The sequence below is a fragment of the Homo sapiens genome, chromosome 2 (genome assembly GCF_000001405.40).
Source record: "Homo sapiens chromosome 2, GRCh38.p14 Primary Assembly".
Taxonomy (NCBI): domain Eukaryota; kingdom Metazoa; phylum Chordata; class Mammalia; order Primates; family Hominidae; genus Homo; species Homo sapiens.
In genome coordinates this window covers 230052102-230065710 of record NC_000002.12, presented here as the reverse complement: position 1 = coordinate 230065710, position 13609 = coordinate 230052102, and the positions used below count along the sequence as shown (strand labels likewise).

Sequence of the window (13609 nt, the reverse complement as noted above, 5' to 3'; positions counted from 1 at the left end):
TGTTGTCTTTTGTTTTCATTAACTAGTTGGTCTAGAAGTTAACCATGAGTAGTCAAAACAGTAATTACTTTTGGAGAGATTTAAGTGTGAAATACAACTGACTCCATTGCTCAGCAGATCTATAGGGGCCTCCTGAGGATCCAAAAGAACTTTTTGGGCCAGGCATGCTGGCTCACGCCTGTAATCCCAGCACTTTGAGAGGCCAAGGCAGGTGGATCACTTGAGGTTAGGAGTTCCAGACCCGCCTGACCAACATGGTGAAACTCCATCTCTACAAAAATACAAAAATTATCTGGCATGGTGGTGCACACCTGAAGTCCCAGCTACTCAGGAGGCTGAGACAGGAGAATCGCTTAAACCTGGAAGGTAGAGGTTGCAATGAGCCGAGATCATGCCACTGCACTCCAGCCTGGACAACAGAGTAAGACTCCATCTCAAAAAAAAAAAGAACTTTTTTACTATATTCTACATGCACCCTTGTGCCTCATGAATAAAATTTGTCCATTAAATGCTATTCAGTGTCACTTATTTATGAACAAACTGGAAATATCAAGAGCAGTTTGTTGGCACCTACATCTCTTCACCCATAAATAATTCAGTAAGAATATAAAGTTCTTATCATTGATTTAGAAAAGTGCTTAATATTTCAACACACGGGCTGAAAAACTATAACTTTTTCCTGTTGTTGTTTGTTTGTTTTGAGATGGAGTTTCACTCTTGTTGCCCAGGCTGGAGTGCAATGGTGCGATCTCGGCTCACTGCAACCTCTGCTTCCCAGGTGCAAGAGATTCTCCTGCTTCAGCCTCCCGAGTAGCTGGGATTACAGGCATGCGCCACCACACCCGGCTAATTTTGTAGTTTTAGTAGAGACAGGGTTTCTCCATGTTGGTCAGGCTGGTCTCACACTCCCGACCTCAGGTGATCCGCCTACCTCGGCCTCCCAAAGTGCTGGGATTACAGGCATAAGCCACCACGCCCGGCCTAAAAAACTCTAACTTTTAAATTTGTATTACTTCAAAGCCTTCCTTGGTTGTAAATGAACTTCAGGAAAATGCCATGTATTGTTGTTTCATCACATTAAACATAGCTGAGCATTTTCCCATGGACAGCAAAATGACATTTTTATGAGCTATTCACACCTTGTGTCAAGCTGCCTGGTTCTCCTGTTTCTGGCTCCTCAGGATTCTGCACACAACAGAGGCAGAGGGAAGACACTCACCAACCATCCCTTCTGAACCCTCTCTGGGCTCATCCACTGGCCCTTTGACAATGCAGCTCTGCACTGCGCTGTAAGCTTTGGAGAGCAAGGGCTGCCCCATCCCTTTCTAGCCCCAAGCAGGCTCAGACATTGGGAAGGGGACAGATACATGCATACACAGACACACACACACACACATACACACACACACACACACACACACAGACAAGGCTGAAACCCAAGACATACTGGAAGACTTCCCAATAGAGGTCATCTTGTTTTGTTTTCTCTTTTACAAGTCAGCCACTAATTTACCTGGAGGTAAGAGGCTGATCCAGACAATATTTTAAAGGTAGCTTTTATTTTCTTATAATACAGGTAATATATATCTATTGAGGAACTTTTTTTTTTTTTTTGAGACAGGGTCTCACTTTGTCTCCCAGGCTGGAGTGCAGTGGCATGATCACAACTCACTGCAGCCTGAACCTCCCAGGCTCAAGCAATTCTCCCACCTCTGCCTCCAGGTAGCTGGGACCACAAGTATGCGCCACCACATGTGCCTGGCTAATTTTTATTTACGGAGATGAGGTCTCACTGTTGTCCAGGCTGGTCTTAAACTCCTGAGCTCAAGTAATCCTCCTACCTCAGCCTCCCAGATTGCTGGGATTACAGGCATGAGCCACCACACCTGGCATATTGAGGAAATTTCTCACCACTAAGATAGTAGAAAGAAGCGGGAAATTACTGGTAAGACCATCATTCAAAGAATAATCTCCATCAACATTTTTCTTTGTTTTGCTCCAGTCTTTTTTCCTATGGATACATGTCTTAGTAGAAATAACAAAGAGATTATTACATATGTCAAAAATAAAGCTGTCTAGGGCTCTTTGAAAATGTACAGGGTCACGCTAAAGTGTGAACTTTATTATTGATGAGAGACCTACATTGTCTAGCTATGCTACAATCAATTGATTTAACAAGTATTCTGATGTTAGATAGTAAAGATGTTTTCAGGGTCTTTTTTCACTGTTTCAGGGTTTCACTATTATAAATTAACTGAATCTTGAAGGATCAACAGAAGAGGTGAGGAGGCTGGAAGGAGAGAGGAGGGGAAGGAGAGAAAATCACACATAATAGCTGGGAGAAGGTGCTGAAGGGACTCCATCCTAATGATAATTCGAAGGGCTGAAGAAATTGGCTTTTTTTTTTTTTTTTTTTTTTTGAGACAGAGTTTCGCTCTTTAACCCAGGCTGGAGTGCAGTGACGTGATCTCACCTCACTACTGCAACCTTCACCCCCACAGCTTCAAACAATTCTCCTACCTCAGCCTCCCAAGTAGCTGGGATTTTAGGCACCTGCCACCATGCCCAACTAATTTTTCTATTTTTAGTAGAGACGGGGTTTACCATGTTGGCCAGGCTGGTCTCGAGCTCCTGACCTCAGGTGATCCACACACCTCAGCCTCCCAAAGTGCTGGGATTACAGGCTTGAACCACTGCGCCGGCCTGGAAATTGGCTTCTGAGATAAACATTTTATCACTCCCAGCAATCTGGATAATGGGAGGTAGCCAGATGTGTGAAGGAGGAAGGACCCAGGCCAAGAGCAGCACTGCACATAGGTGCTGTAGTGGCTGAGGACTGGACAGCTGTTGAGGAGATGGAATAATTTAAAATGTAAAAATAATAATGAGAACAAGGTGTGACAGAAAGAAAGAAGATGATCCCCAGACAGATCCACTAAGTTGCTTCTCCACTGGTACCCTTGGATCCCCTACACTCATTTTTTCCCCCAGTAAACCCTTAGCCAGAACGAATGCTCTAGTCCAGGGGTCAGCAAACTTTTCCTCTAAGTGGTCAGAGTATTTTAGGGTTTTTGGGAAACATAGCCTTTAGAAAGATAAAGTAATCCCAGCACTTTGGGATTGCAAAGCAGGAGGCTTGCTTGAGACTAGGCTGGGCAGCACGGTGAAAGTCCATCTCTACAAGAAATTTTTAAATTAGCCAGTTGTGGTGGCACATGCCTGTAGTACCTGCTACTTGGGAGGCTGAGGCAGAAGGATCACTGGAGCCTGCTAGTTCAAGGCTGCAGTGAGCTATGATTACGCCACTGCACTCCAGCCTGGGTGACAGAGCAAGACCCTGTCTCAAAAAAAAAAAAAAAAAAGGTAAAAACAAACAAAAAATTCTTAACTCAGGTGTGGATAGAAATAGGCTGCAGGCACTGTGCAATTTGCCACAATCTGCTCCTCTCTCCTACCCGTCCACATCAGAACACTCCTGAGAAAAGCTCTACAATTCGAGACTTCTTAGTGCCTTTGACACCCAGAATGGATAGTTTTTTTACATCACCCTCTGCCATGGCAACAAAATGATTTTCAGTAATAATCATGTAATGGTCAGTAATACTCATTATGTTATTGTTCTTCTGTGTTAAAATAATTAAAAGAATATATTTCAATTTTAAAGATAGTGAGCCGGGCAGAGTGCTTCATGCCTGTAATCCCAGCACTTTGAAAGCCGAGGCAGGAGGATCACTTGAGGTCAGGAGTTCAAGACCAGTCTGGCCATCATGGCGAAACCCCGTCTCTAATAAAAATACAAAAATTAGCCAGGTGTGGTGGCACATGCCTGTAGTCCCAGCTACTCAGGAGGCTGAAGCATGAGAATTGCTTGAACCCAGGATGCAGAGGTTGCAGAGAGTCAAAATTACGCCACTGCCCTCCAGCCTGGGTGACAGAGCAACACTCTGTCTCAAAAAAAAAAAAAAAAGATATTGTTCAAATTGAGTAAAACATTTCAAGTATTAATTTAAAATGTCACTTTCCAAACCAAGGTTTTGTACCTCGCAGTCTTCACTGTTTCACTATTTTAAATTGTAAACTAGAATCTCCAAGTGAGTACATAGAGTGACACAAGTGAAGTGACTTGAGATCTGGTTCTTTTTCTGGACAATAGTTGTGCTGGCACAGTTCACCTAGAGTGTTCTGAGAAAGGCGGCAACACATAACACCACAGGGGTTGTGGGTGTGGATTTTGCCAAGTGGGTATTGTTTTGCCAACAATTCTGAACTCTTAGGGGCTTCCTCTCCCAAATAATGTGTGTAGCTGGGACTACACATGTGCCAGGGTCAACTGTAAAACCAGGAGTTCTTGAAATAACTTCCATGTAGAATACAATGTTTACAAAAGGATGAGAAATTAGAACCAGCTAATTTGAAGCATACATATACATAATTAAAATTCAACATAATTGGAACTTAGACCAGCTAAACATTTTTTCAGTGTAATTGTCTAGAATTGCTGGCATGTAGTGATGATTTAGAAAGCAGACCAACTTTTAGTTGTTTGTTGTTTTTAAGTCCTCCAGCTTATTGCAAGCTCCGGGGCAGAGTGCTCCCTGGCTCTGTCCTTGGTGCTCCATGGCCATAGCTGGGCAGTGGGACCCTGCAGGGCTCAACTTGACCTTTGGAACTGCCCAGCAATCATTTCCACTTGTTGTAGGCAACAGTCTTTTCCATTATTCTGAGCATTAAGTCTCCTACACAACCTCTGCCCTCCTCATTCTCAGCCGATAACCTAACTTCCTGCTTCACCAAAGAAATTAAACCATCAGATGTGGTTTTCCATCCCACTACCATCATAGGTTCATCCACCCCCTCCTTCCTCCAGACTCAGAGGATGGGTCTCTCTTCCTAATAAAGACCAATCTGTTTCACCATCTCCAGGATTAGTCATTATCATCATAATATCTCTCTCTCTCCACCCCCGACTCCTGCTCCTTATCCTCAGTCTTTATACACACACTTAATTCTCATCCCCTCCCCCCAAAAAAAACCATGAAAAATGAAACAGGCCAGGCACAGTGGCTCACACCTGTAATACCAGCATTTTGGGAGGCTGAGGCAGGAGGATCGCTTGAAGCCAGGAGTTCAAGACCAGCTTGGGCAACATAGTGAGATCCTGTCTCTCCATACATACATACATACATATATACATATGAAAATTAGCTAGGCATGGTGGCATGTACCTGTAGTCCCAGTTATTCAGGAGGCTGAAGTGGGAGATCCCTTGAGCCCAGGAGTTCAAGACTGCAGTGAGCTATGATCACACCACTGCACTCCAGCCTGGGTGACAGAGCAAGACCCTGTCTCAGGAAAACAAACAAACAAAAGAGGAGCTAGCATCCTCTAGCTCCATCTAGCCTCCCTCCTCTCATTCAAACATCTTGAGAGATAGATCTATGCAAAGTACCCATCTCATTATGTCCAATGGCTGTTCATTATGTACAAGATAAACTACAAGCTCCTTATTTGGCTCACAAGGGCCTTGCATGATCTAGCTCCTGCCTACCTGATAACCTCACCTGGTGACCTGTATGTCACCACAGTATCTATTCAAACTCCTTAGTCTGATACCCTATTTTTGAAGTAATTTTCTAGTAACTAATTAAGTTCCCTGTGTAAATACTAGGAATGGGGTTGGGTGGAGGGGAGTAAAGTATGAGTCTTGTATAATGAGACATAAGTACCACCATTATTAGAAAGCTATGTCTTTCATTGTAATCAATTGGACTTATCAGTCTCTCCTGAGCTGGGTTAGTATGAGCCAGACCCCCTGAGGCTAATCCACTCTGGCTGCACTGAACAAATTAACACTTGCACCCACAAAAACTGAGAACCAGATCCTCTGCTAGGGACCCCACCAAGGTGAAGCTACACTGAAAGGCTGCCTGAAGCCAGATCTTCCTTCTTTGACATCTTTCTTGTCACCTGTCAGTATCCATCTCTATAAGGGAGACAGGGTATGGGCTTTGGAGTCAGGACTAACTGGGGTCAAATCCTAGTTTCCCAATTGACCATACTAAATACAGGCCTTAGAAAATCACCTTACTTCTCTGAGTCTATTCCCAAGATTGTAATACCTATATATGTGATGGCTGTAAGATGAAACAGGTTTCATAGAAGCACTTGCTCCTGGGAAACAGTAAGGAGTGTTTTCAAATCTGTATGGTGACAAAGATTAACCTGAAGATCAGATGTGATACTGGAGCCACTTTGACCCTGATGGGGAGGTAGAGCTGCACAAAGAAGATGAAGATATTTTTCCTTTTGATGTTCCATGAAATTATTTGTTATATGTATTTCAGAAAAATCTTGGAAAATGTATACCAGTCATGAAGATATTGGGTATGATTTTGAAGATGGCCCCAAAGACAAAAAGACACTGAAGCCCCACCCAAACATTGATGGCGGATGGGCTTGGATGATGGTGCTCTCCTCTTTCTTTGTGCACATCCTCATCATGGGCTCCCAGATGGCCCTGGGTGTCCTCAACGTGGAATGGCTGGAAGAATTCCACCAGAGCCGCGGCCTGACCGCCTGGGTCAGCTCCCTCAGCATGGGCATCACCTTGATAGTGGGTATGTTCATGTGTGACCTGTCGTAAAACTGAATCGTTATCAAATGACAATTCCCCACTGTAAGTGATGTTTTATATTGTTGTAACATTCGATATTGGATGTTACTAGCTACTATTTTTCAATTGTGATAAAATATGCATAACATAAAATTTACCATTTTAGGCCAGGCACGGTGACTCACACCTGTAATCCCAGCACTTTGGGAGGCCAAGTTGGGTGGATCAGTTGAGGTCGGATGTTCGAGATCAGCCTGGCCAACATGGCAAAACCCTGTCTCTACTAAAAATATAAAAATTAGCCAGGTATGGTGGCATGTGCCTGTAATCCCAGCTACTCGGGAGGCTGAAGCAGGAGAATTGCTTGAACCTGGGAGGTGGAGGTTGCAGTGAGCTGAGATTGTGCCATTGCATACCAGCCTGAGAGACAAAGTGAGACTCCCTTTCAAAAAAAAAAAATAATTTTACCATTTTAAGCATTTTGAGTCCCATTAAGTACGCTCATATTTTTTCACAACCATCACCACCATCCATCTTTAGAACTTTTTTTCATCTTCCCAAACGGAAACTGTATTCAATAAACATGAATTCCCCATTCCCATCTTCCCTCACCCCTGGCCACCACCACTCTACTGTCTGTCTCTATGAATTTGACTATTATTCTAGGTACCTCATGTAAGTGAAATTATGCAATATTTGTCCTCTTGTCTCTTGTGTGATATAACAATTTAAATATTTTAAACATTTGGAGTATTTTAAAAATTGATCATTTTGGCTGGTCCAGTGGTAGTGGATTATCAGAACTTATTAATATTAGTGTCACTAAAGTTGGTATACAACCCCTGACTGCTAAATTTAACTGGCTTTAAAAAAAAAAAAACTGTCATTTAAAAAACTTTATTTAGACCCAAACTCTGTTTGCCTAACCATTATAATTCATTATGTACCATTATAAATCTCTGCTTGTTTAACATTTATGAATACTTTTAAAGGTAAAAATTTTAGATAAAACACTATAAAAGTCCAGTAACAATCTCATTTCAGAGTTCTGATATATTTTTTTTTTTTTAAGACAGAGTCTTGCTCTGTCTCCCAGGCTGGAGCACAGTGGCACAATCTGGGCTCACTGCAACCTCGGCCATCCAGGTTCAAGGTATTCTCCTGCCTCAGCCTCCCTAGTAGCTGGGACTACAGGCACCCACTACCACGCCCGGCTAATTTTTTTGTATTTTTAGTAAAGATGAGGTTTCACCATGTTGGCCAGGCTGGTCTTAAACTCCTGACCTCAAGTGATCCACCTGCCTTGGCCTCCCAAATTGCTGGGATTACAGGCATGAGCCACCATGCCCAGCCTGAGTTCTGATGTTTTCAATTTGAAATATTATTGATTTTTCATTATTGAAAAATCTTCTAAACTGTTTCTAGAAAGCTTACTGATATATAGCTAACAGAAAGGAATAACAATATATTCTTGTATTTTCTTTTTTTTTCTTTTGAAATGGGGTTTCTCCATGTTGCCCAGGCTGGTCTCGAACTCCTGGCCTCAAGAGATCTGACCACCTCAGCCTCCCAAAGTCCTGGAATTACAGGCCTGAGCCACTGCATCTGGCTGCATTTTCTTTTTTTAAAAAATTGTTTAACATGGGAACATAGATTCAAGTTTTCCTGAATATACACTCCCTATTCTTCTATTTTCTAGTTAAACCTAACCACACAGCAATCTATGAAGTCAAATCTTATACAGCTGGAGATACTAAACCTGGGAAGTTATTATAAATATAATGCTATGATGGCTAATGTGTTTCAGTTTGAAAATGAAATAACTCTTACTGTCAATTAATATTGAATAAGCATCTATGATATACTAGGGGCTTTCCCTTACATTATCTCATTTAATTTTATTTCCTTCCCTTAACAATGCTCTGAGATAACCACCACTATGACGTTTTTCAGTTGTTTCACTTAAAGGTGAAAGCCATATATTTATATCTAATTGTCTGAATTTAAAATATTTATAATATATTTTATACTGGAAACATAAACGGCCTCTAATCTTTTTCGGTTTTGTGCGAGTATGCATATGCCAGGCCAATGTGTGTCTGATTGGAATCTGTGCCTTTTCAGTGATTCCCAATTAGTAATTAATTGCTCGAATGCAATTCAGAGACTTGTTGATCTTGGCTGGCATTCAACTCTTTTTTTTTTTTTTTTTTTTTTTACTTTTTGTAGAAACAGGGTGTCACTCTGTTGCCCAGGGTGGAGTGCAGTAGCACAATCGTAACTCACTGCAGCCTCGAACACCTGGGCTCAAGCGATCCTCCCACCTCAGCTTCCTGAGTAGCTAAAACTACAGGCATATGCTACCATGCCCTGCTGATTTTTAAAACTTTTTGGTAGAGATGGGGCCTTGTCATATTGCCCAGGTTGATCTCAAACTCCTGGCTTTAAGAGATCCTCCTGCCTCAGCCTCTCAAAGTGCTGGGATTACAGGTGTGAGCCACTCCACCAGCAATGTTATTTTTGATAATACAAACAATATTAAAGCCAGGCACGGTGGTTCACGTCTATAATCCCAGCACTTCGGGAGGCTGAGGCGAGCGGATCACCTGAAGTCAGGAATCTGAGACCAGCCTGGCCAACATGGTGAAACCCTGCCTTTACTAAAGATACAAAAAATTAGCCAGGCATGGTGGCAAACGCCTGTAGTCCCAGCTACTCGGGAGGCTGAGGCAGGAGAATTGCTTGAACCCAGGAGGCAGAGGTTGCAGTCAGCCGAGATGGCGCCACTGCACTCCAGCCTGGGCAACAGAGTGAGACTACGTCTCAAAAAAAAAAAAAAAAAAAACACCAATATTAGTAACAATGGTAGTCCTAATGATAGACAACAAGGACAAAGTGTTATTTCTCAAGTTGTGTGGCACATGTGTGTGCAAGTGTGTATGTTTACTGGAAGGGAATTAATACGGATAGTTTTAAAATTAAATAAAGGCACCATTATGTATGTCAGAAAATTACTGATAAATCATTTTTGTCTGTAACATTGTTGAACTGACTTCTTCAAATCTGCATTGTTTTGTTAAACTAGGACTGTTTGTCATAGGAAACACGCAGGTAGGTTTATTTCAGTGTCGGGCTTCAAGTTTTACGTCAGTTGTAATTCTACTTTTCTCAATAAGTTAGTAAAGGAAAACTGTGTTTCTAGAACACTTAAAATCCAGCTTTCTTTCTTTTTTAAAAATATATTTGTAAGGGGTTAAACAAAACACATGTAGATTTAATCTTGGAAGTGTATGCACGCAGTAACATCAAAAAAAGACTCAGAAGAAGGCCAGGATATGAAATGTCCCAATATTTTCCAAACCATCCAATAAGTTGGTCTTAGATATTATGTTTCATAAGTCCTATGAAAATAAGCAACAGAAACTAGTTCTGAAATTATTGGATATGGTTTTAAAGATGATCCCCAAAATAAGAACCCCTAACTCATGGTGAAATGTGATGGTCATACTTAATTTAATTGACAGGTAACTGTGTGTTCAGAATTTTGTTTGAGAGTCCCTGAATTCCAGACTGTGGAATTTCAGATTTTAGACTAATCTTTCTACAGGGAAAGCTGCCTGCCAGATAAACATTTTTTGCTGAGTTTCAGAAATCATAACATAACACAGCAGGCCTCATAGTTATATAAATGAAAGGTCTTTTATTCTATCTATTTACCTAAAATTATTGTCCATTATCCCAAGCTTCCTGGTACAGGGTGGCTGCAGATTTGTTGAGCAGCCTCAGGGAAGCTTTCCAAGCCAGAAACGCGCAGTAACAGCTCTCCTTTATTTAGCACGCACTGCATGCCACATGCACGTTAATGTACATGATCTCATTTGATCCTACAACACTGGAGGCCAGACCATTGTCTGTATCTTACAGAGGAAGAATATGCAACACTCAGAGACATTAAGTAACTTACTGAAGGTTGAACAGCCAGTAAGTGTAGAACTGGCTTTAAACCTGGTCCATGGGACTCCAAAATTGTGTCTACTATGACACTGCCTGCCATTACATCAAATGAGAACTGAAAACATACTTGAAATGAATAATACAAATGGTTTTTACGTTCTAATCATTGTAAGCACATTTGGGCTACCTGTTAAATTTAGAAAGGTCCGTGGTTTTTTCTTTTTTTCTTCTTCTTTTTTTTTTTTTTCTGAGATGGAGTCTCGCTCTGTCGCCCAGGCTGGAGTGCAGTGGCACGATCTCGGCTCACTGCAACCTCTGCCTCCTGGGTTCCAGCGATTCTCCTGCCTCAGCCCCATGAGTAGCATGAATTCATCACCATCCTGCAGAAGGTCCCAACTTTTAATAAAACGTAATCACCTCATTTGTATTGTAAACCACAAAATATCTGAGACTGGTCTCAATCAATCCGGAAGTTAATTTAGCCAAGGGTAGGGAGGTGCCCAGAAGAAATAAACACAGAATCACAGAAACAGTCTGTTACCTGTGCCTTTCTCCAAAGATGATTTTGAGGACTTCAACATTTAAAGGGGAAAAGGGGGCTGGAGGAGAAAGGGAGGGTACAGTCATCCACGTGTTGCAAGAGAAAAGGTGCAGATAGGGGAATCATCAATTTTGTATTCATCTCACACTCAGTAAATCAGCACTTTTACATAAAATAAGGTGAACATAGAGTAGCTACCTGTGGAGCTATATAACCCTTTCTCTGTGACTAACTGCTTAGGAATAAAAGGAAAGGCAGTTGCTTGCATGACTCAGCTTTCAGCTTAATTTTTTTCTTTTGGCAGAGTGAATTGGGGTGCCAAGTCTGTATTTTCTTTTCACAGTATCTACAGCAGCCTTTGTGAGGCTAGCTCTGAATCATTCTTGGGGGATGCCCTATTGTTGGGGGAATCCACAGGCTACACAAGATAAATGACTTGCTAAATCACTTTATAGCAGTGATTGTCAATCTTGATTGCACATCAGATCCACCTGGGGAGCTTTAACTTCCCCCCCCACCTCAGGCTGCACCTGGGATGGGCTCCAAGTATCAGGATTTTTTTTTAAGCTCCTAAGCAACACCACTGTTCAGCTAAGGCAAACAGTTCATTGATTTAGAGGCTCCTAACTCTTTACTATGGTGAGGGGTTACCCTAAGAGACCTGGAGTTCAAAGCATCTGTAACCATCCCTGAGAACTGCCAAGGCTCACCTGTGATTGCTCCTCTACCAGCGCTTTTTTCCAACCTGTCAGCTGCCAGGATGGGTCAATAAAATATAACTTCCTGAGGGTGTTCCCCACAGCAGTGGGACACTTTTTTTTTTAGATGAAGTCGCACTCTGTCACCCAGGCTGGAGTGCGGTGGTGCGATCTCAGCTCACTGCAACCTCTGCTGCCCAGGTTCAAGCGATTCTCCTGCCTCAGCCTCCCAAGTAGCTGGCATTACAGGCATCTGCCACCACACCTGGCTAATTTTTGTAGCTGTAGTAGAAACGGGGTTTCACCGTCTTGTCCAGGCTTGTCTTGAACTCCTGACCTCGTGATCCACCCACCTCGGCCTCCCAAAGTGCTGAGATTACAGGTGTGAACCACCACACCTGGCCAGGACACTTTATTACAGTGGGAAATGGTCCAAGATTCAGATTTCTTCTGAAAATGAAAAAGTCAGATAATGTGAATAATCTCATCCTAAAACACTGAATTACTCTATAAAAGTGTGAGTCATGGTCAAAGGATTGTATCTCAATTGTATGATTCCCCCTTCTCCTTAGATTGTGAGGGGACTTCTTTTATTTTCTGGAAATGGTGGTTTGATTTTGGCAATGCTAGTGGACCATCAGTAAACAGTGGGTAGAAAATGAAACTCAGCTGGCACAGTGGCTCACATAATCCCAGCACTTTTGGAGACTGAGGCGGGTGGATCACCTGAGGTCAGCAGTTTGAGACCAGCCTAGCCAACATGGTGAAACCCTGTCTCTACTAAAAATACAAAAAATTAGCTGGGCATGGTGACAAGCACCTGTAATCCCAGCTACTCAGGAGGCTGAGGCAGGAGAATCGCTGGAATCCAGGAGGCAGAGGTTGCAGTGAGCCGAGATGGCACCACTGCACTCCAGCCTGGGCAACAAGCGTGAAACTCTGTCTCAAAAAAGAAAGAAAGAAAGAGAGAGAGAAAGAAAGGGAAGGAAGGGGGGGAGGAGGGAGGAAACTGAGAGTCAAAAAGCTTGGGTTTTTATTTTTTTTTCAATGTACATATATTTTATAACCATGGAGAAGTCACAGCATTTCTGGGTCTCGCTTGGCTCATCTGCAAATCATAAATGACTGAAGCCCCAGCATGCGAGAGTTGATTAAGTTGTAACAGTGCCTGGCTGTTTAGTTAATGTTTTTAGCAGTTAAATAGTTATACTTTTTTAAATTTATAAAATTCCTCCAGACATGAATATTTGCACTGAGTTTGGAATTTTCTCCCTTTTTTTTTTCTCAAACGCCTTTTTAATGTAATGTTTCATAAAGCACCTCAGAAAAATTTGCTTCTGGGCCCTTTCTGTGAAGTGGAAAATATGATTGTGCTACTGAACTGTGATCTGTTGACCTTTGAAAAGGCTACAAACAGCAAACTGACAAGTCATGCATTTTTCTTTTTTTTACCCACTCATCCAAGCTAGGCATAGTCAAGTAACCATGGGTTTAGAAAAACAAAAATAAAAATGTGTAAAGAAATCAGACAAGTATCTCTAACTTACGGTATGTGAATTTCAGTTAACCCCAGTAATTCCATCAGATTTTTTATCAGTGCATTTATTTTATATATTATTTCTATAATGTGCATATTTAATAACAAATAACATTTATATAAAGTATGTTTAGGCCGGGCGCGGTGGCTCACGCCTGTAATCCCAGCACTTTGGGAGGCCGAGACGGGCGGATCACGAGGTCAGGAGATCGAGACCATCCTGGCTAACACGGTGAAACCCCGTCTCTACTAAAAATACAAAAATT

At 42.1% G+C, this 13609-nt stretch overlaps 1 protein-coding gene and 1 pseudogene across 6 annotated transcripts in view; both read left to right on the top strand.

The window, feature by feature from the left end:
* SLC16A14 (solute carrier family 16 member 14) overlaps window positions 1-13609 on the top strand; it is a 33943-nt gene that overhangs the window by 3214 nt on the left and 17120 nt on the right. For all 6 annotated transcript variants that reach the window (XM_005246353.5, NM_152527.5, XM_047443523.1 and 3 more), the window contains exon 2: window positions 6345-6617. In XM_005246353.5, coding sequence (XP_005246410.1) covers window positions 6359-6617 — 259 coding nt within the window. In that variant the 5' untranslated portion in view covers window positions 6345-6358. The remainder of the gene's footprint in view (window positions 1-6344; window positions 6618-13609) is intronic.
* Window positions 7387-7480, top strand: RNY4P19 (RNY4 pseudogene 19; annotated as a pseudogene).